Source organism: Homo sapiens, chromosome 1 (assembly GCF_000001405.40).
Source record: "Homo sapiens chromosome 1, GRCh38.p14 Primary Assembly".
NCBI classification, from domain to species: Eukaryota; Metazoa; Chordata; class Mammalia; order Primates; family Hominidae; genus Homo; species Homo sapiens.
In genome coordinates, this window is record NC_000001.11 from 245,857,502 (window position 1) to 245,881,291 (window position 23,790).

Consider the following 23,790-nt stretch of genomic DNA (forward strand, 5'->3'; position numbering starts at 1 on the left):
CTGTTGTCCTACGTTGCCCCTTTGGGCTGACATGGTATTTGCACAGTCTGCAAAGCTGGGAAATTAAAGATCTGCCCAGGTTGGAGCCCCTGTTCTCCAGGGACCTCCTCCCTCTGCCATCGCTCCTGGTCACAGGTGCTTTCGAGGTACCTTCCCGCCAGCAACCTTGTTCTGTGCTAGAGACTGAGCCATTCCCACCTCAGATTATGGTCCACATGTCTCCGTGCCCTTCCCCTTGGGCTGCTCTCCGTCTCACCTTCTAGAATTATGTTCTCAGCCGACTGCAAATCAGGGTGCAGCATCCACCAGCGCCTAACTCTCAGCAGTTCAACACTACCCCCTTCAATGCTTTTCTGAGTTATAAAAACATCTCAGGGCAAAACACCTACTGGTCTCCAGGAGCTGAGATCAGTCAAGAAGCAATTACCTATAGTTCCTTCACCTGACTCAAGGAGAAGCTGAGGCAGGGCCGTCTCCCTGCTGTCCTCCCTGGCTCACAAGGTGATTATGAAGGCAAATGATTCAACTGAAAGCATAAATCCTGAGAGAGATAAAGGACCATTCTTACTGTCAGCCAGACCAAGGGCCCCATATGGCCATCCTCACCTGGACCAGCAGAGGCTCATGACACAGCCTCTCAAGCTAGGTCTGAGCCTGCGTTCCTCTACAGCTCCCCCACCACCCTGAGCCCGTCTTTGTCACTGCAAGCGCCACATCGTATTGTAATCATCTGCTCCAGATAGAGACAGCATCTAATTAGTTTCTGTACACCCACGGTGTCTGACACATGGAAGGAACTTTACAAATGATGAATGAATGCATAAGTGAATGAACAAGAGGAGTGAATAAAATAAGACTTGGTTTTAAACAATGGTTGAGAAGCAGCTGGAAATGCTCCATGCAAAGTAGTAATCAGAATGACTTCACAACATGGATCCTTTGCCCAACGTGAAGACGTCCTAGCCCTTATGTCAGCCCTCTCCCTGGGACTTGCCTGTATGGCTCCATGGTCCGAGTACCATAGAACAAGGCTTCCTCCAACAGGCCGAGGTTGATGCAGGCATCCATGGCGCAGTCGAGCACCTTCAGCTGGTAGATGTTGATATCGGGAAGCCGTTCAGAATTGCTGCTTATGATTGCCTGGCACATGGCCAGAACCTGCTCCCACTCTGTTATTAACCTTAGTTAAGGATTCATTGTCTTCATCAAGAAAAAAACAAACAAAATTAGATTCTCTAAAAGGCTAAAGAGCTCCCAAGCACAGGAGCGAGGGAAGCACCCGTTATTTTTCACAGATGAGCTGCCTGAAAACACACTTGAGAAGCAAAAGCACAGAAGAGGCATCTCAGTGAAGTGAATTCTGTTTACATCAACAAACTATCTCGTAACCAGGCCTGTGCTTTGGAGTTTTAAAACTTCCAAAGACCTGTTCTTGCTTCATACTCCTAGATGTGTTCTCTTTAAATCTAGTCATAAATAAATGCAGTCCTTTATTAAATTGGACTAAAGATTAAGTTAATTCGATTTTAAATTATTTACTCTGTTAGCTTCTGTTTAAAAACTGTTTGAAATTAAAGATGCTTTAGAGAGATTCCTTTTTCAAAAGGAAGAGCTCATGTTTGCTTCTGTGTTACCTGAGTTTTGGGCATACATGAACCCAAAAACTCACACAACCCACAGGCACACACTAGGTGGAGCAATTTGAAGACATAGATTTCCACTGGGTCTCATTTTTTCCGATTATAAAGCAACAGTGACCCCAGCCTGTACTTAACCAAATACATTAAAATATGTTATTTTAAACCCCCAAAATAAGAGACAGTATTAGGAACATGGCTTATGCACATCAATTGCTGGCAAGGGAAACGATGCTTTAAAAAGGATGGGGAGAAGACTCAATGTCCACTTCTCAGTAACTGCCTTTCTGATTAACCATGAGTCAGTAACTTCATCTCATGTAGCCTTGGAGTGACTTCGCTTTTTAAAACTGATATTCCCTGTCTTACAGAGGCAGTCAGAGGACTGAGGACATGGTTTATGGAGCGTAATTTTAATCCCTCCCCAGTGAATTCTCTGGGAAACACAGCGAAGGCCAGAGTGCAGGACCCTGGGACCTCGCAGTTTCTTCACTGTGCGGTGTGTTAGGCGAGCTGGAGACCAAGGAGGGTGCAGGACTGGGACTGGTCCTTCTCTCACTCCTGTCTCACCTTCACCCAGTGGAGCTCCAAATTCATCTGCTTCATATGTTGTCATTCCAGTAGGGTGAAAAGGTTTGAAGATCAGAAATGGCAGCCTAGCCTTTGACTGTAGTAAAGCTAGATTCAGATCTAATCGAGTCCTGTCATTTATCAGAGTTGAGGTTCTGAGGAAGTCAAAGTGCTTAATGATAGGCCAGAAATAGAAATGACTCACGTCAACGTAAGAATGAGTAATATATTGTATGTAAAATGACACAGTTCATGATGTGTCCTCTCATGAGCCAGGGAGAGTTCCAGGTGTCAGAGACACAGTGGGGAACATTTCGTGGCATGCACAAAGCACATGCTACACAAGCATTAGTGCCTTCCACCTTCCCTCTGTGACATGACCTCTGAGCCTGACTGGGCTTAAAGAAAGTGGTTCAGTGGACTGAGTTTGACTGAACTCAGTGCCCCCTTCGTGCCCCCACACCCCTCCCACTCCCACATGACCTGGTCCCTTTACAATCCATGCTCTCTGTGCCATCCCCTGCCCCCAATTCAAAACCCTCTTCACTGAGGTCCTAACAGAGCACGCCCAGCCCTGAGCAGACAGCTCACTGTTTATGGTCCCCTCTCCCTCTCTGTCCAGCAAAACCTTCCTCTTCGAATGTCCATACCCTTCTCAGAACACGGCTTTCTGAAACATTAGCAAATACTTCTAATAAACCAATCAAGCCACTCCTGAGAGTGGAGACAAATACCTTTATGAACTTTCACAGCAAATGTATTTTCTTTCCAGCAAAGGCCTCCCGGAGACACAGTATCTTACTCCAAAAGATGAGTTCCTTGATGAGAATTTAAAGCACCCCAATGCACAGCTGAGAGCCTGTTCCATCACACCCACTACAATGTTAGGATGAGTCCCGTCTTGGAGGAATTGACCCTGATCCCAGAAAAGGTTCATTTCCTGAAGAAAAGCGAGTGCATGATTTGCTCTTGCATTCATCTGACATGTATGTTCAAAGTTTGCTGAATGTATCCCCTAGAGGTTGGGGGAAGCAGTATCTTAGGCAACGCACTGATTTTGTAACAGATTGCTGGGCTAACCTCCGTGGCTTTTCATTCCAGGATTAGATATTTGACGAACTGTCAGGAGGAATGACTGTCTCTTACACATTGCTAGACATTTCTGTGGCAAGACTTGTACCTTATTTTAACATTGTGCTGTTTGACCTCCACTATTATTTGCCTGTTCATTTATGTATGTTCCCACTTATTCTAAAGAGGTTCGAGGTGACAGGCCTTAGAAGTAGAAGCCAGATGTGATGTTCTGCAGCTACTCATAGGAATGCATTTATTTTATCCCCCAGCAAGCTGGAAGGGACTACGTGCCAATTTCCCTTCACAATGCTGGCAACTGTCTCTTGCCAAACAAGGCAAAACCTTTCCTGCAAAACACCCCAGTGAGCCAAAAAATGGAATAATTTTAACTAAGAGGCTTTTCCCCCCAAGCTACTACTGACATGTATTTGCTCAAAGATTTAGTCCCTGGCATCTGTGTGGTGTTTACTACAATTCACTCTGTTCCAGTACGGAGCTGAGCTCTAGACCTAGCAGGGCTGGAGAGTGCACCCAAAGAGAACAGATTCCTAGTGGACAGAACGGATATCTTTTTTTCCTGAATACTTTTAAATGACCATAAGAGGATCAGGGGAAGAGAAAGGGAAGCAAAGTAAATTCACTTGGGAATTACTCAACTTACTGAGATTCAATGACTGTCAGACCACAGAGCTTTTATTCACTTAATCATATTACTCTACTGCTTAAAAAATCATCCCATGGCCTCCTCTCACCTATAAAGTCTAACCGGTGCATGGCAGTTAAGGCCTTGCCACCTTCCCCTCCTCTCATATTGCACAGCCAGCAGCTTCTCAGTAGCAATGCATGTTCTGCGCGTCTGCACAGGTCATTCCTTGTGTTGGATGCCTCTTCTCTTGGTTGGTCTGGTGAACTCCCACTAATCCTCCCAGACGCAGCTCACTGGTCACCTCCTCTGTGAAATCTTTCAACTTCCCAAAGTTGACTATTGTGTCTTTGATGCCGCCATAAGTCTGTATCTTTACCAAAATATGTATTAATGGACATTTTACTACCCCACAATATAGGAGAGTAGTGAGTGCAGGGCTGTGTCTTCTAACTTCTGTCTGAACCATCAGGTGAATGATGACCAGCAAGGTACCCAGCACACAGTCCGTTTTCAGTAAAACCTTGTCCAGTTGAAACTGAACTCTGGCTGGGTTATCCATGGGCCCCAATACCGCTGCCAGGGACCACACAGAACAGGTCTACTCCTCTGCACATAAAGGCTCTTTGAGCCCATGAGCAGGGACCTCCTGCTTCCAGAGTTGACTGTTTTCCGTTTTCCTAGTATCTTCCATCTCATCATAGACAGCGTTTCAAATCCCTCCTTAATTTCAGTTCCACCCCTCAAAACTAGTTTGTTTTTCTATATCCTTTTTAATACTTCCCACCTCAAACTGAATAGAAAATTCCAGAAATAATCAGACTGGTACTATCATCTCTATCATTTTATAATCAATATTAATGCAGCCCAAGATCACAGTACTAAGATTATATTATACTCTTAAATGTTGTTAAATTTTGCTATTTACTAAAGCCCTAAATTTTTTTCACATGTTCTTATGCATATTTACATATTTGAACTTTTTGATCCGAATAGAAATTTTATATATGTTCTTGTTATATTTCATGTCTTTAAAACTTGGATACCATTTAAACATTTAGAGATCTTTTGAACTCTTTTTTTTCTTTCGAGATACTGATTCTATCATCCCACCTCTATTATCCTCCCCATCTACGTCACTTTGGAGATTTGATAAACCTGTCCTCTGTATCTTCATTCGAGGTATGGAATTATGCATTAAAGAGGCCCGAGATGGAAAAACAACACTCCAGAATGACACTGAATCATGTAACATCATTTTTTCAGTGTAGCTATTCAGTTAGCTTTGCTAACATCTAATGTAAGTTTCTTGATTACTTTTCGTCAAATCCCTTTCTAAAGTCTCGATACAAACTTTACCAAAGAAAGCTGTGACTCTGTGGATTCATTCGCTCTTGGAGAAACCAGGCAGCACTGTGATGATCACAGCTTTCTTTTCCATTCCTTAGTAACCAATCCTAGATTCTTTACCCAAGACTGCTAATAAACTCAGTGGGCTATTGATTCAAAATTATGTCCTTCACCTTTAAAACTGGAAACCTCCCTCTACCTCCTTCTCTGGCTCTTTACAACTCTTTAAATAGCATCGTCAGCAAATTGGAAACCTCATCTGCTATGTTCTTAGTGCCTGGGATATAAATTTACCCCAGAGCCTCTGAATGACCTTTTGCAGTCTTTTCATCCACCTTGATCTCTTCCTTCTTGCCTGCTGTTTCCCTTCATCACAGCTTCACTCCAATGAACTCCTCTACCAGGAGCGGCCTCCTTCTCAGCCTTGGCCTATCCAAATCCTGCCCCTGACTCAGGCTATCTTGCACAGTAAAACATTAGTGGAGCCTTCCCAGATGACCTTCATCCTACATGGTCTCTCCTTACTCTGAACTTTGGTCCACCTGTGGTCATTACTATTCATGCTGAGAAAATGTGTCGTGCAGCAATCCCCACTGCCATTGTAGTCGTGGCTGGTTTAATATGAAGCTTCTGGGTCTGACGGTCAATGGCACTGAATGATAAGGATTCTAAGCTACTCTTTCCTAGAGATGTTAGTGGTTATGGGAGAAGAAAATTGAGGAATTTGTTACCTTTTACATATAAAGAGACTAATTCTTACTTTCCTACTACTGCTAGGCCATGAGTTTTGATTATTACCTAACGGTAGTGAGTTATTATTCACGCTGATTTTGCCACGAACTTCCTTGTCATTACTCAAACTGCTGGCCAGGGTCGGAGGTGCGGCCTGTGACCATGGAACAGAATGAAAACCACTGGCTCATGGAGAGGTCAAACCCCGCCTCTGACCTCATTACGACAGGGCTTCAAGAAAACAAGGAAACAATCCCAACAGTCCACCTCAATCCACAGGCGAAAGGATACTCCAGTGTGCCTTCAGTTCTTCAATTTTTTTCAGGGATTCTTGAACTTCCTTCCATACTTGCTCATCACCAGTTAGCATATCAGCATCCTGCTCAGGCCAGAAAAGGAAGACAAATAATCTAATTAGTAATAGGCAAAGGACGTGAATAGACCTTTCTCCCAGATATACAAATGGCCTGCAAGCCCCTGAAAAGATGCTTGGCATCATTTATCATCAGGGAAATATATAAAGCAAAACCACAGTGAGATGTTACTTGATACCCACTACCATGGCTATAATCAAAAAGACAGGATAACAGCAAAGGTTAGTGAAGATGCAGAGAAACGGAAACCCTCATACACTGCACATGAGAATGCAAAATGGTAGCTTTGGAAAACACTCTGGAAGTTCCTCAAAGGGTTAAACGTAGAGTTTTCATGTTCCCAATTAGAGTTACCATATTAACAGTCCTACTCCTAGGTATCTACCCAAGATAAATGAACATGTATGTTCAACAAAAACTTGTTCACAAATATTCACAGCAGCATTGTTCATAATAGCCAAAAAATGGAAACAACTCACACGTCTATCAATAAAATATCCAGACAATGGAATATGACTCCACAATAAAGTACTACATGCTACAACATGGATGAACCTTTCCACAATAAAGTACTGATACCTGCTACAACATGGATGAGGCTTGAATACGTTACGCTAAGCGAGAAGCCAATCACAAAGACCACATGTATGATTCCATGGATATGACATGCCCAGAAGAGGCAAATCCACAGAGACAGAGTCGATTTGTGGTTGCCTAGGGCTAAGAGGATTGGAGGGAACTGGAGAGTCACTGCTAATGGGTAGGAGTTTCTTCTGGGGTGATAAAAATGCTCTAAAATTGACACCATGCTAGTTGCACAACTCTGTAAAGAGACTGAAAACCACTGAACTGTACACTTTAACTGGGTGAATTTCATCACAGGTGAATTACACCTCAATAATGCTGATATTTTAAAAAAACAGAAGAATAGGATAAATAGTTATTTGTTAGGAGACCTACAGCTAAAACCTTATTAAGTATAAAGTACAACTACACCCATGTGACCCAATTCTGACTTCCACCTAAACTAAAAACAAAATCCCCCAACACTGAAAAAATTCAAAAGAAAATTATGAGCTACCATGTATGAAATGTCTGCCCTCCTATTCAGTAAGCAGGTCCTCTGCTTCCGGTTGGCCAGTGTACGTCTGGCATCTAGCACAGTGCCTGGCACATAGTAGTTGCTTACTCAGCACTTGTTGAATGAATGACTGAAAACCACATGTGTGCACAATGCTGAAGGCTTTACTGATATTTACTGATATTGATATTTACTGATATTTACTGATATCGTCTTATCTTCACATAGCTCTTCTATGTATGTAAGTATCTTCACATAGCTCTTCTATGTATGTAAGGTCAAATCCCATGGGGTAACACAGGCAGGGAGTGGAAAAAGTCTACCCTGGGTCAGGCAATGAGAGGGCACACTGTCTATAGAATACTAAAAAATAATAATAAAAACCAACGAAAAGTAGGTCTGATGTTTATTATGTGCAACAATTCAGAGGTGAAATATTCTTCTTCCCCCCAGGTCAGAGGGTGTCTAACATCTTTCTCCCTAATATATCACTGATCATACCCAGTTTATACATGACAAAACTGAGACTCAGATTAAGTGACTTACCTGACAATCACTAGCCTGGAACCAAAATTTCACCCCAGGTCTGTTTGATTCCAAAAGGCTATCTTCTTGTCAAATATTACTCTGTTTGCCACAGATACTGCTATGGTCTTTTCAGCATGCTCAGCAAGTCCTGCTTATTTAAAGCTGCACTAACAGGTAGCCACCAGCCAGGTGTGGCTATTTCAATTTAAATTAATTCAAACAATAAAAAACTCAGTTCCTCAGCTGCAGCAGCCACATTCCAAGAAGCTAACAGCCGCATGCGGCTGTGGCTACCACACTCAACAACCCAGATACAGAACAGTTCACTATGTCATTGCAGAAAGTCCTGTTGGACAGTGCTGCTTTCAGGTGGCTAGTCAAAGGGTAAGCACTCTTAGAAGACACTATTCAAAACCAGGTGTTCACTATCCATGAGACTTTCAACGGGTGTCAGAGACAAGAACCACCCTAGGAAGTTACATGAAAGCAGGGCCAGTGTGAAGGATGACATAAGGGTGAGGAACGAGGGACATTTTCATACTCTAGACATCCCCCTGGAGACTGTCATGTGCCCGTTGAAGGAGGTTTATAGAACGACCCCATGAGAACCACTGCCAGAGTCAGTCTGTGTTTTTGGGAAGAAGAAATATCACTCAAGTGTGCCAGGGCAGAAACAAAGGGAGGGGCAGAGCACCACGAACCACAGAAAACAGATCCTGAGACTCTCCTTCTGAGGCTGGGGCAGTGGGTGTGTGTATGAGGAGATAGGAGCACTTGTGTCTGCATAATTGGGCTTTGTGGGCCTCTATGTGTATGTGCTGTGTGTCTGTGTGATATAGTAGAGTGGATTTTAAAAAGACACCATAGGTGCACTTTTTTTTTTTAATTCTAAATACATCCCTAACTTTCTGTACATGGAGGAGGGAGGAGATAAAATGCCCTTAAGAAGGTAAACAACAGGCTGGATGCGGCGGCTCATGCCTGTAATCCCACCACTTTGGGAGGCCGAGACAGGTGGATCACCTGAGGTCAGGAGTTTGAGACCAGCCTGGCCAACATGACAAAACCTCGTCTCTACTAAAAATATAAAAACTAGCTGGGTCTAGTGGCACACGCCTGTAATCCCAGATACTTGGGAGGCTGAGGCAGGAGAATGGCTTGAACGTGGGAGGCAGAGGTTGCAGTGAGCCAAGACCACGCCACTGCACTCCAGCCTGGACAACAGAGCGAGACTCTGCCTCAAAAAAAGAAAAGAAAAGAAGGTAAACAACAGTCTCCCTTCAAATGCCTGCTTTAAGCCCGTATTCATCTCCTAAAGATCACCTCCCTCTCCTGCACCAAAGCCTTCAGCAACTTCCCACTGCCTCCCAGATCAAGCTCACCCATTAGACCTTAACAATCATGGTCATTCCTGATTGAATGTTCCAGTTTTACATTTCACAACTGGCAGCTTAAACCCTAGATCTAAGCAAAATGTTAGTCTCTATGGTAAGCAGAATAATGGATCCCCAAAGATGTCCACATCCTGCTCTCCAAACCTGTGAATATGTTAGGCCACATTGCAAAGGGGAATTAAGTTGTAGATGGGATTAAGGTTGCTAATCAGCTGACCTTAAAATAGCTGAGAGTATCCCGGACTTTCCAGGTGGGTCCAATATAATTACAAGGGTCCTTAGAAGTAGAAGAGGGAGGCAAAAGAGGAGGTCAGGGTGATGTGCTGTGAGAAGAACTTAACCAGAAGCTGGCAAAGGCAAGGAACCAGTCCCCTGGAGTTTCCAGAAAGGAAGGCAGCCTTGCCCACACCTTGATTTTGGCCTTCTGAGACTTGGGTCAGGCTTCTGGCCTACAGAACTCTAAAATAATAAATCTGAGTTGTTTTGAGATGCTATATTTATGATCAATTGTTACAGCAGCCACAGAAAATGTAGTCCCTAACATACCTTCTGCTCCTCTGGCCACTGGGGCTCTTTGTGCCTGGCCCTCTCTGTACCTGGAATTACTTAGTTAGATCACTCATTTATTCCATTAACACTTACTGAGTACCTAACCAGGCACTGTTCTAGGCAGTAGGGATAGAGCAGTAAATAAATCAGATAATCATGGTGTTCATACTGAAGAGGCAGGTGGAACACACGGCAAGAGAAGATATGTGCATGCGCGTGCGTGTGCGTGCGCGCGCACACACACACACACACACACTCACACACACATTTTGTTGGGAGAAAAACAAGGAAGAGGGATGGGGAATACTGGCACCAGGGAGTTCATTTTAAACAGGATGATCGGGGAAGGTCTCACCAAAGTGATATTTGAGTAAAGCTCATTTAAAGGAGGTGAAGGAGTAGGAGACAGCAGTTCCAGGAAGAGCGGAGGGCAAGTGCGGACGCAGAAGCGTGCCTGAATGTTCCAGGAACATGAGGCCAGCATGGCCAGAGCTTGTGGACTGCAGTGTGTGCATGTCATATCTTCCCCACTTAACTGTAAGCTCTTTAGAGCTGAATATAGGTCTTATTCTTCTTTGATCCTGCCTCTCCCAAATATCTAGCACAGTCTTATATTTAACAAATGCTCTGCTGAATGTCTATAGCATGGATCTGGAAGAAGTGAACTAACTTGGTAATGATTTGATGTCTCTTGTGTTTATTTCAGTTATTCCTCACAACATCTTTGAAAGGCACCAATACTTGTTATTTACAGATGAGGTGCAAGATAATCCTGAAGCTTACATAATTGGTCCAAATGTCCTTCTACCCCTAATTGCCGAGGTAGGATTCAAACCCAGGTCTGTCTGGCTCCAAAGCCCATGCTCTTTCTAGTACCTTCATGCTTCAATTTGATTTCTCTCCTGGACTTGCTTAAAAGGTGAAACTCATATCTGAGTTAATCAATTCAAAATATCTTCACCCTTGTTTCCTAAGCTCTATCTAGTACTAGCAATTCTAAGAGGAGAGTAAAATCCTCCAACATAGAACCCACAGCAGATCTCGTATTCTTCTATCAAGCAGGGTGAGACCGCAGCCCAGGGCAGAACAATTTCATATGGGAATTACAGTCACAACTAAATTTGCCACCAGTGAACATAACCTGATTAGCTGTTCTTTTAGGTTGATCCTAAGCCTTTATTTGCTTAACAGAAGAGCAAGCAAGCTTTGAAACTGCTCCTAAACATTTAGAAATGATACCTCTGAGAGCATTTTATATTGGAGCTAGACAAAGCTACACTCACTAATAGCTATCACCTCCCTGGAGTGTTCCACTACGGTAACTGCCTCTCAGGTTCCAACTTCCCCTGACCCTACCCATCCCACTGTGGCTGCTACTCACAATTATGTCTACACTGGGTCTGTCACGTCTCCCCTCTCTCCACACCAGGCTGGAGGAAAACATTCAGTTGCACAGGTGTATAAACAGGACAGAAACAGAAAAACTACTTAGGGAAGCATAATTTTAATCTTCTACTTTCCTAATTTGCAAATAGAAGAGTAAATTACTGTTTTTTATCACAGTCCCTGAGGTATAAAATTAGTAAATTTATATCCTTATTTCCATTATTTCATATCCAAACACAAAGACACTTGATATAATTCAGGACAAAGTTATTCAGGAAAAAAAAAATCTCTTTGAATTTTACTTTTACCACATAAAAGGAGCTTGAATGGGTGAGTCCTGGAATTTTTTTTTAGGGGATGGAAACATTCATTTTACATTCATTTAAACATCAAATATACTATTGCTGGATTTTCTACAAATGCTAAAAAGAATTCAGCCTAGAAGCAGAAGGATTCCTAAGAAAGCTGACTTTCCTGGGAAATGATCGAGAGAATGAAGAACCTGCTGGTTCCAGCGCTGGTGGCATCTCTGCCCTGACCCACTGCATGACCCCGGGCAAGTCTTCCTTTTCCTGGCCCTCACCTTCCTCACCTGCAGAAGGAGCAGCTAGTCTGGATGGCTGCTATGTAACCACTCTAGTGATTTCAGCAGTGCAGAACCAATTTAGCTCCATCTCTGGTGACTGCTCTTTTGCACAGCCCCGGAGAAGTCCTTCAAAAGCCTGTCTTTATTTTAAACAGTACAATCGTAGAGCTAGTTTATGAAAGACAGAACTGTGCCGTTGTTCTCAGGTAAGAACGAGTCTCATTTGTCCATTCTCTCTCTGACCGCACAAGCCCCTTGAATACCGCCCTCCCAGTTCACTCACCCCATTCTTTCCCCTCACAGCTCCACCCCAAAATCCTACCCACGCCCATCTCTGACTTCACTGCACCCACTCTTCCAACTAAAATCGCCATCCTGTGGCTTCTGTCAGGACTCAGCGTGTTTTCTGCTGTTTCCTCGGCTCACCACTCCATTTAAGTCTTTGGCTTTCTTCCCGTTTGTCCTTTTGGGACACAGCCCCTGCTGTACTCTATCAGGAAACCTTCTCTGGTTCTGCCTTCTGGGTTAGCCTGGCCCTCCAGGCCCCTCTGCACAGCCCCTAGCCCTGAACTGACACGAATGGTTTCCTGGATTGCCTCCCCAGGTATCCTCAGAACGCCCTGAGGGACCGTGACCTCATCATAGCTGTATTCCCAGTGCCTGCAAGGTAAATCACTCGGTAAATATTTGGTGATAGAGTGAATGAGAAGTGATCTTCCACAACCCATGGGCGACAGTATTACAAGAATAAAATACCTTAACTCCACCACAACAAAGAGAATCCCAACCAAGACAACAGGTTGTTCCTTTCACAGCACACGTCTACCTTGACTCTAATATTACTACACTAAGATCAGATACGTTCCCACCGCAGCTGTGGGTATTTGTCAAATACTACAGCTGGCATTGGTCATCATTTAGAGCCTAAGTGTGACACCCTCCCCCAGCACAGGAAACCCCACGCCGGCTCCGGACCCACGCTTTCTGACAATCGCGTCAAGGGTTATTTGGGGAGTGGGCTCGCTTACCTCTCCTGGCTTCTACCTCAAACACCATCCTGAGATTCTAATGGCGCTCTTGGCCCAGAGGTCCCTCGCTCCATCTATCCCTGCATGAATCAGTGAGGCCACCTACATTCCTTCATCCATAGCTGCTGAATCAATACCCCAGGATCATTTCCTTAACTGTAAAAATAGGTACCAGATGATATGAGATCATCTCACCACCACATAAAAGGGTATCACTCAACACGGTTACATTCAATTGGCCAAACGCTTCCTTTGGGTTTCGGAGTGGGAAGTTTACCTGCCAGATACCAGTAGTCACTGTGAATTACAAAGCTACGTTTCTTCCATAGGGAAAGTTTGGAGTCCAGCCAGGCTAGCTGAGTATAAACTTGAGAAAGTGACCACGGGCTCTGTCAGGTTAAACACACGAATCCATCCAGACCCACCTTGCAGCTCGAACACTTGAACAGATGTGTTCACTTAGCTTGCAAGCGTTTGATGTTGAAACTCGTATGCTGGGCCAATTTCAGATGGTTCTCATTAAAAAGAAGAGGAACAGGAGAAAGGTAATCTGCTTCCCAGTACTTCCTGTTATCCAGTACTCATGCAAACTCTAATTAGATTGAAGAGAGATGGAGTATAGGATGAAAAATAAAAAATTAATGAACACTTACAAACTTTTCCAGTAATTCAATAATTCATGTCTTAAACGGAAGAAAGGTTTTTAGTTTTAGTTTTTAAAGTAGAATGAGGTTCAAATACAGTGTCTGCACTCAAGAGAGAGATTGGAAAGTCTTGAAATTAAAAATTCTGAGGTAATTTGCAGTGTCTTTGACTGAGGTAGTCTGGTTGGGGCAATATACTGGGACTAGATTAATATACAACATCATTCAAAACCTTTATGATTAAAAGGAGACATCTGTGCTGGAACCAATTTCCACCTCCTTTGACAAAAACAACTGAAAGCAGTTCAGATGTAACTTGAGGGGAAAAGTGGCTCTTTCATAAAGCGGAAAAATAGTGGCTAAAAATAGAGCATTCACTGTTATATCAACTACAGACCAGTCAGTGGACATTATAGGCTGGGGAATAAGGAAAAGGAAGGAATGTTCTCAGGTTGAAGCACGATCAAATTGTAGTATGTTCTAATTAGCAATTAATCAGCAAATGTACACAACGATTAACAGAAATTAGTGAAAAAGAATGCCGGGCTTGGAGCCATAAGATGTGGAACTGAATCCCTGCTGCATATCCCTGCTGCCGAGCTGTGTAGTCTTGGCAAGTCCTTCAACCTTCCAGAGGCCCAATTTCTTCAGTGGTAACGATTCTCTAAGGAGATGCACCTTCTCATCTTTTCCTCTGCACCCTCTAGAGTTACTTACGTCCTAAATGTCACAGTGGCCTGAGTTTTCAATCCCCACCCTACAGGGCGGGGACCAACAGGAGGCTGACTAGAGTCAGCTTTGTTTGGTGGGAAAGAAAAAAATGGTGGAGGAGGGAGCACATTACAATGTAATCAACAACCAACTATGCTGTGACCCCACATCTCTGCACATCCCATTCCCTTTGCCGGGAAGGCTCTTCCTCAACGTAGTCATCCAAGCAAACTTCTCTGATCCACCACAAACCACACCAAACAGCCTCTGACATCCACAGGCACAATCCCTGTGCACTTCCCACTGGCTTTCATGATGCTTGCTCTACTGCCTGGCGGCAATGAGCGTAACTGTGATGCAGATGAAAAGCATGTCTTCCAGATGCTGTCATCAGCCCACAGGTGAAGTAAAATTGGCTTTAAAAGGTTATTTTTTCATCTATTTCATGAAATTGTGGGATCTCAGTGCCTTTAACAGATGTCCACAAGCAGGATGTAGCAGGGCTCTGAATTGTGAGTCCAAGCAGCTGCTTGCATCCTCGCAAGAGCCCAAAGTTCCCGCCTCCTGCTGCTTCACCCATCTCCTGAGCTGGCCGACCCCAGGATGGATGTCCTCTTCTCAGATGAGAGAGCCCAGAGTTCCTGCCGCCTTCTCCTTCACCGGCCTCCCTGAGCTGGCCGACCCCAGGATGGATGTCCTCTTCTCAGATGAGAGAGCCTTCTCCCGTCGGGCAGCCCCGTCACTCCCTTGGATCCAACTGAGGAGCACTTGGGCAACCAGGGGCTGTGAGCCCAATCCAAACAAAAATGCTCGTGGTGAGGAGAAGAAGTCATCAAACAGCTGAAGCCACTGGCAGCTCTGTTCCATTTCACTTTACATTCCCACCGTCGCTGCCAGCATTTGCCAAATGCCCATTTAGCTTTAGATCTCAGGCAGAAACAGGGCTCTCCTGCAACTACAAATTTCCACAAACCACACATTCAAACCAACTGCGATTTCAAGGTTCAATCTCCAGCTACACAGAATTGCCAGAAGGAAGGGGATATTCCCTTCATAGCTTCTGGGAAACGGAGCACAGCCTTGAAGGTATGAAGTCAGAACTTCTAGAACCACCAAAGGCCTTTTCCGGCTACAGCCTCAACACCTCCCCTCCCTCTGTGTGGGGTTGTTCCCATCCCAGTGAATAAAACTGCTTCTCAGAGAAATAAGCTTATTTGCTTATATAAAATCAAGTCAACCTGGAGAGAATAAAAACAGCATCTACACGTTGAGGGCAGTTTGAGAGCCTACCTCTTGTCAGTGGTGCTTGCTAAAAATGAGCCTTCTGTAGAAAAGCATTTTGTAGAAAACTAGCATGATGGGCTGATATACAAGGCAGTTAAACACACATGAATACATTTAGGAAGGAGACACTTGCTTGCACCCTCCCCCCATACTGGAAAGGTATGTTCCTGATGTAATAACATATAATGGGGATTAGATGACACAGAGGGCTATGAGCTCCACTTGCAAATGCACATTCAGACAAATTCTTTTCACATCTGTAGAGAGACTACCAAATGGATGGCTTAGGCTGCTGTAAGCCCATACTCACAACTCCTACCCAAGTCCTGCCAATACTGTTGTGTAAACGCTACCAGGTGGGAGGTTTGAGATTCTGGGAAAAATGCAAAGATTTTACAGGAAAATTGTTCTCCTGACAATAGCCATTAAGATAAAGTACACCTCCAAAGTTCAGGGTGAGTTTTGTCTTAATGAAGACCAAAGCTGCAGCCCTCATCTCCTTTAATCGGCCACATCTCCATCTTTTGTATTTTCTTCTTTGAGGACAGATGCTCTCATTCTCCTCTGCCAACAGAGATAAAAATGCTTTAAGCTGCCGCAGAACAGATTCAAGTGAGGTTTAAAGGGCAGTGTCCCGAAGGCGAAGGTTATAGGATAACCTAGATGTGGCCACTCCAGAGACATTCAGACATGGGATGAATGATAGCTTGATTTGGGTTCTGTGCTGTTGGCATGTAAGACTGTGTGACAGGCAGCACTACGGAAGTGGAACTAAGGAGGCCGGGCCCTGGTACCAGCTCTGCCACTGGCCAGCTGTGAGGCCTAGAGTCTAACAGTGCCTCCTGGCTCCGCTTGCCCAGGTGAGAACTACATTAGGGTTACCACTGACATGGAAACTAATCCTTCCACTCCATTAGTCGCCTATGTGTAAAGTATATGTTGTCCATGAAAACAGACCTGAAATTCTGATAGGAAGGTTGCTGGGGTTTGTGATTGTGCAACAAATTGTAAATGCCTTTGTTCTGATTTGTCCCTCCTTCATTCTATTTTAAACTGAGTTTTCTCAAGTATAAACAACCCCAGCCATAGCACAGAGAGTCTACAGGACTGAAGACAACACTCAACATGGTACTACCTTCTGCCAAACCAAGAATTTGACAATGGTTATTTAATTCACACATTCCCTCTAACATTTGTATGTATAATGATTATAACAGGCAATATTCCAAGCTTGGGTAAACATGGTATTTGCTTATCTGCTAAAGCGAGCACATCAGATTATCTAATCTGTGGTTCTGAATTAAAGGAATAGTTTAGCTGGGGTCCACAATGACAGCTTCACATAACAAGTCCCTGAGACACAAGTCTAGACATAGCTTTTTAGGAGGCAATCTTACGGGTCATCTAAAGAAATGATTTATTTTGACATTAGAACCTCTCTCTTAACATCAGTTAATGGAGGGTTCCATAGCGTCCCCTAAGTCTTCAGAGTTGGGCTGCAGAAATTATCCCGTTCTACAAACACTTCATAAGGCAGCACTGAAATCCTTAGACCATGTGTCACACAAGCCAAAAGTTCAAAAGAAACATGTCGCTGTTCGAGGGAAAGAAATTACTTTAATCTCTCAGCCTTTAAAAAAAAATTCTAGAATTGTATTTTGTATCTCACTGGAAAAAAAGCCAGTGTTCCTCCAATTATTCTAAAACAAAAAAAGAAAAGTCTGTAGTCTGTGAATCAATCCATACAGAGATCTGTCCCTTGAAGCTGGAGGGTGGGTCACCCCAGAGGGCAGTCACTTGGCCTAAAGGTCTGGTGAGGAGAACACTACTTTGTAAAGTTTGGGAGGAGAGAGGGGTGACCAGATTCCATGGTACAGCTCTTTTGTGCCTCACCTCGTATCCATGAGACAGACTACACAAAATCACCAGGACTTAGACGCTCCTGCAAGCAGCTCTGCAGCCATGGAAGTGAAGTGCTGGCTGACGGCACGGCGAGCCGCTTCCTGGCACGCCAACAGAAAGCACATGTCTGCATTTTTGATTCCAGTAAACTCCAGGCTGGCTCTCAGCCAGAGGACCTCTTTGTAATGTCAAAGATAAAAGTACTGGCCATGTTTGGCACCCTGCCTCCACCTCCATTCTCTTGTAACCGTCTCATAAACCAAGCATGCATTACTGTTAACAGAGTCTTCCAGACAAAGGTCTGACGGAGCTTCATAAACATTAGCAGATGACGATCAGACAGGTCCCTACTGCACAGGAAGGAAAGGAGGTACAGGGAGGGGCAAGTGATTTCACTCAGAACATGCTGGAAATTGTGGGGAGAGCTGGAAATAGATATTCAACTATATACTCAGAATACTCCTACTACCAGAGAACTGCTCACTGAGCCGCCTGAGTCGTGCACATCTTCCATTAGAACCTGGCATGTGGGCAACATCAAACCTCAAATCTGTCCCCAGCAGTATAGGTATCATCTTTATATTGATATCTGATGAAGTTCCTCAAATTTGGATGTTCAAAATGGCTTTTTGAGTATACAAGATGATATAATGCTTCTCATACCCCTAATATTCTTCCTCTTGCCCAAGGGAATGCTACGATGCCAGTCACAGAAGATTTAGGAAATGATTACCTTTTGATTAGTTTTTGTTTTCATTTTGGGTCATACTCATTGTGGGCCAAAATTACACAGCCCTAGCTGTTTGCCTTTACCATTTCTGTTTTACTTTCCATTTAACTTTTGAGACTACTCTGAAAGTAAGATTTTAAGGTTTGTAAATGCTTACCAACTAAAATACGCAAGGATTTCTTTTCCGGAGGTAAACAAACTTACAAATCCCTCTTGCTCTGTGCAAGAACAAGGGGTACCCAGACCTTCATTCAGAGGACTTAATATGAGAAAGTCCCAGGTCTTCATCACCAGTGGAAGCTGGATAGCTCTGGATGTGCTTTTTAAAATATGTATCAGAGGCTTTAATTCACTCCAGAGGGCTGCAGAGAGCTTACTTCCTCCCCTATGCTACCAAGAGTGTGCAAACACACAGATACCCACAGACATGCCCACATACACACACATCCCAGGAATATGCTTTAAGGGATACTGAGGGCTCCGACTTTCCCTCAAACTGCAGACCTGTTGTTCCTCCAGCTTTGTCTCTCCTCTTTGCTGTAAGGGCCTAGTAAGGTAAGGTGGGTATATACTTAGAATCACCTCAGGAGCTGTTAAGAATACAGACCGGGTTCCATCGAGGCAAATGATATCAGCATCTCTTGGGGGCAGGCAGATACCGGTATCTTTTCTAAGCTCCCCAGGTGATTCCAATGCACAGTCTGGGCCAAGGACCATCAGCGTGGCCTTTGCCGCCTCAGCCATTGCTCCGAATCTCTGCGATCATGCTGTCACTCTTCGTGCCGACATGGTTAAGACTTGCTGCAAGTATTGATGGTTTTGCTTTTCTTTTTTCTTGTCTGCTCAATCTACAGTTCTGTCTCCCATGTTCTCTGCTTTTGCACAAATAGTTTATTTACAATAGACACAAAAGTGACCAAGTCTGTGGCACTACGGGGAATAAATCTCATGCCCTTCAGGTGCTCTTTAGCTCAATATATGACAACATCTCCCCAGTGCACTCCAGGGCCAGGTACTGGATCTGAGAAGACACAGCTGAGATGTGGCCTCAGCTTACATTCCAGTGGTTGAAACGGCCAAACAAATGTATCATTTCTAAATACCGCACGTGATAACAGAGAGGTAAGCCCTGGGGCTATGGGAGCATAGAGGCAGAGCCCTCTGCCTGGCCAGGATTTAGGGAAAATGTCCTGGAGAAGAGGATGCATGAGTGCAGGCTTGGAGGCTATGGGAGCACAGAGGCAGAGCCCTCTGCCTGGCCGGGATTTAGGGAAAATGTCCCGGAGAAGAGGATGCATGAGTTCAGGCTTGGAGGCTATGGAAGCATTAGACAAGGAGAGACAAGCAGGAAGGCCAGTAGCAGAGAAGAGAAAGAGGTCCTTGGGGAGGCCACGCTGTTGGGTGCTTCTGGTTCACTCATGCATGGCAGGGCGGCGCTGCGGAGACGGGGCAGCTCCCCGGCCCTCTGCTGCCCTACTAGGTCTGCAGTTACTTGCTGTTCAGAGGCTGCTTTTCCTTAGAGGCTCTTTTCCCCACTAAGCTGAAGGGCTACTTCAGAATGAGCCCACAGACCCAAAAACATAAAGCTGAATTAAACGGTTCATCGGGGGAAAGGGGTGGAGATAAAGGTTTAGATATGAGGTAGAGAGGTAGGGAAGGGGTCAGATCAAAGAATGAATTTGATCCTGCATGGGCAACATGGAGACATGGGGAGATTTTAAGTATAATCTCTATGTTTTTCAAATATTTACGTGGAAAATACACTTGCAGGTGGGAGGGACTGAAGGCGGAAGGTGTTAGGTAGATGTTTCAACAATCCAGAAAGAGATGACATGAATCTGAATAAGGCCGTGCCTTAGCAACAGTGAGAGAGGAAGAGAGAGACTGAAGAGAAAAGGAACAATTCAAGAGAGTGTAACAAGATGATAACCTGGGAGTAAGTCTGTGGAGAGTAGAGGATTCCAGGACAACGGCCATGCATCTGGCTTCAGTGGCTGAGTGCATGGCGAAGCCTTCCGGTGAGATGGGGAATGTAGAAAGGTGTTTAGGAAAGGGACGTTCGCTTTTGGACATGCTAATATAAGATGTCTGCAGAGAATCCAGGTACAGTTACCCCTAGGAAGCGGGAAATATGAAACTAGACCCAGAAGACAAGTGAAAGTGAGAAGTGTCGACTTGGAAGTCAACGCCACGCAGGTGGAATCTGAAGATATGCGACAGAGGAAATCACCCAATCCAACGGGGCCCAAGAATCTCAGGGGCAAAGCGGAGAAGTAAAGGAGGGCACGGAAACGAAAGGAGAGTGTTCCCAGGAGGAGGAAGGAAGGGACAGGTGGTGTGGAACTCAACAATGGCATCAATGGGGAAGAGACTCAAAGGAGGTCAATGGATTTGAAATCAGGGGCTCACCGATGACATCAGAGAGAGCGTGCTTTGGGGAGTGATAACTCCTATTGTGGGAGTTAAGAGAAAACAAACAGGGTCATTAAGTGTGCAGATGACTCAAGGGGTTTCACAGATTAAACAGGAAACAATGGTTAGAGGCAAGAGCTGAGCTGGAAAAAGAGTTTGTTTCTTATAACGGGAAAGTGTGGGCACGTTTATGCCACAGGGAAGGAGTCAGTGGACACGGAAAGGCAGACCCCAACAGATGGGGCAGCAAGGGGGGCGAGGTCCACGAGGAGGCAGAGGGTAGGGTCAAGAGCACAGGTGGTAGAAGCGGGTGGTGGGGACTCGGCTTTGGCAAGGAGGTCCCCATTTCCTCTAACAGGAAGAGACAGAATGGGTGCAGATAGAGTTGCATCTGGAAGTCAGCAGGGTGGGAAGTTGAGATGGGCTTTATGTCTGATGGACTCTTTTTCCCTATCTACTGAAATCAAGAGACAGCAGAGGCTTAGGAGGATGGAGCAGTAGTGAGGGTCTGGGAGTGCTATAGAGAATGGGTAAAAAGGGGCCAGCTGAGGACAACTTGGCAAGGAGGAAGCCCAGCTGAGGGAAGGCCAGAAGCAGCCCCAGCACCTGTCTGCAGGATCCTGTGACTTTCACAGCCCCATTGCATTACAGGGGCCTGAACTGCAGGAATATACTGTTGATGTCATCAGCAGTTGGAGGGTTGGAGAGGGACAACGCAGGGATGGCAGGAAGAGGGCGTTGAGCTTGTGAGTGTAAACAAACATGGGTTCCGGCAGAGAAAGAAGGGAAGCTGCCTATGCTAAGATTTTCAAAAGAGTAATGCCCCTTTTCTCCAACTACAGTTTAGCCCATGAAACCAATTTGTATTTGTTTGGCCTCCAGGAAGAGCAGTGTTATTTCTTTAATCTAGGTTTCATGTTAACACATCTGAGAACCGCTTGCCCATCTCCCCATTTCCATTTTCAGTGCAGCTATAATCTTGATAATGAGGGCACGGTAGTCATTAAACTATTGGAAACTATGAGTCTGAAAATGCTTGACAGTCGCTTAGGTTCCCATTTGCTTTATGCATTTCTAGTCTGTACAAGGTTCACGTTCTAGAACAACATCTGAGCACACTGCTCACAAACAGCTGATAAGCATTTCCCAATAGGACTAGATGACCTACCTCATAGGGTGGGCCTAAGGGCTAAATGAGATAATATGCAAAGTGCTGTGCATAGCAACTGGCTCGCAGTAACCGCTAAATGCACATGAGCTGTGCTGTTACAGAAGAGATGGGGAGTAGGCAGCAGAACACTGCGATGGAGACGAAGAGTGTAAGAGGACAACGCTGAGTAACCGAGGTGATGAGAAACGCTTCAGTGCTCTCTGAGCAACGAGAAAGCATGGAAGAGACAGAGTCGCTGCTTCAAGCGTGTGAGAAACATCAAGAGATCACAGAAAGCTACTCAATTCTTAGGGTTTTTCCTTTCTCCCCAAAGAAGTTATTCTTCATCAGGAGAGAGCAGAATAGGAATCTTAGAAAAGTTCCCATCTTTAATTCCAGCTGAACTATATTCCAGGACAGTGAAAGAACTTGGAAAATATGGTCATGAAACTATTCTTACTCCACTCTGAAGAACTGAGAGAAAGGGAATGGCAGCAGAAGACCAGAGTGGCGGCAAATATGGTCTCAAGAAAATAAAAATAAAACTCTGTAATGGAAGTCTTCAAGCAAATAAGTCAATGTCTATCTTTGACCAATGCTTATTAAGAATTTTAAAACATGGTGTACCCTAGAGACAGCACAGGTGCGTTGCTGTACACACCAGAGATAGCACAGGTGCGTTGCTGTACACACCAGAGATAGCACAGGTGCGTTGCTGTACACACCAGAGATAGCACAGGTGCGTTGCTGTACACACCAGAGATAGCACAGGTGCGTTGCTGTACACGCCAGAGATAGCACAGGTGCGTTGCTGTACACGCCAGAGATAGCACAGGTGCGTTGCTGTACACACTAGAGATAGCACAGTTGCCATGCACACCGCTGCTGTCTCTAGTGAATGCTGTTCTTGCAGCTGCAGCACCAAGAACAAATCCTGCCAATCTGAACTCATTTAATTCCATGGAGATTATACAAGTATATGGGGCAAATATTATTAACACCATATTGTTCGATTTCAACCAGGATTTGTTAATATCTTCATAATATTCTGGGGGTAAGATAAGGCTATCTGGTTAGGATGAGAAAGTATATATAGGTTCCTGGCTGGCTGGCTGAACAACCAACTATATCTTAGGATTAACTGATGTCAGCCTTGAATCACTCCTTGGTAGGAATCATTTTCCTTATTTTATAGATATAGGTGAGTTTCAGAGATGGCCAACTGCAGGCCAAATAACAACAACAACATTTACTGAGGGTTTATTGTGCTAATTACTTTAAACACTGTATCTTATTTAATCATTTCAACGAAGTATCAGGTAAAAACCAGTCCAATCCTTATAGAAGACAAGACTGCAGCTGAGAAAGACAGGTTAACCTCCTCAAGTTCAAGTAGCTACAAAGTGGTGGAGAAGGACTTGAACTCCCAGTTGTATAATTCAGAAACCTGAGTGCTCTCTGCTACACCACACTGCCTCAAATATTCAAGTACTTGAAGACTGGTAGGTGGGACAAGAAACCTATTTGCTCTTTATTGTTCCAAGGGGCAGAACTAAGACCCTGATGTAAGTGGAAAGAGGCAGCTTTTAGTTCATGAGATTAATTAACTTTACAATCACAGTTGCCCAAGAGTGGAACATTGTGCTCAAAAAGAGTGTGCTGAGATCAGCACTAAAAAAGTTCACATTGAGTACGGATACCCACCCAGGGCACACACTGTCCAGGAGATACTTGCCCTGGGTAGGCGGGCCTCTAAGGGCCCTTCCCATCCTGGGCTTATAGGCCCCTATGAAATGATTCTTCTACATTTGTTCATTATAAAAATATACAGATCTCCAACAGGATAATGGGGATATTCATGCTTTTGACCAGATTAGAAAACTCACATATCTAAGTATACCACCAAACCAACACTGTGTTACTCAAGTCTGGTTTCATCAACTCTGGAATGTGTGCATTCTTGGAGGAGGAAAGAACACCAGGGGCATGAACTGCAAGCAGAAAGGAATCTGTCATGATGATAAC

The 23,790-nt window shown here is 44.4% G+C and overlaps 1 protein-coding gene across 19 annotated transcripts in view, besides 1 other annotated feature; it reads right to left on the reverse strand.

The window, feature by feature from the left end:
* Positions 1-23,790, reverse strand: part of SMYD3 (SET and MYND domain containing 3) — a 757,933-nt gene that overhangs the window by 108,155 nt on the left and 625,988 nt on the right. For all 19 annotated transcript variants that reach the window (NM_001375962.1, NM_001167740.2, XM_047428020.1 and 16 more), the window contains 2 exons: positions 6,298-6,385; positions 995-1,169 (listed from right to left, as the gene is read on the reverse strand). In NM_001375962.1, coding sequence (NP_001362891.1) covers positions 995-1,169; positions 6,298-6,385 — 263 coding nt within the window. The remainder of the gene's footprint in view (positions 1-994; positions 1,170-6,297; positions 6,386-23,790) is intronic.
* Positions 12,196-13,395: an enhancer, noted in NCBI's record as "CDK7 strongly-dependent group 2 enhancer chr1:246032999-246034198 (GRCh37/hg19 assembly coordinates)". NCBI's record gives its function as "activates an origin of replication core promoter dependent on BRD2, BRD4, P300/CBP, MED14 and CDK7 cofactors, with strong dependence on CDK7, by STARR-seq in HCT116 cells {active_cell/tissue: HCT116}" and the evidence as "EXISTENCE:reporter gene assay evidence [ECO:0000049][PMID:35650434]".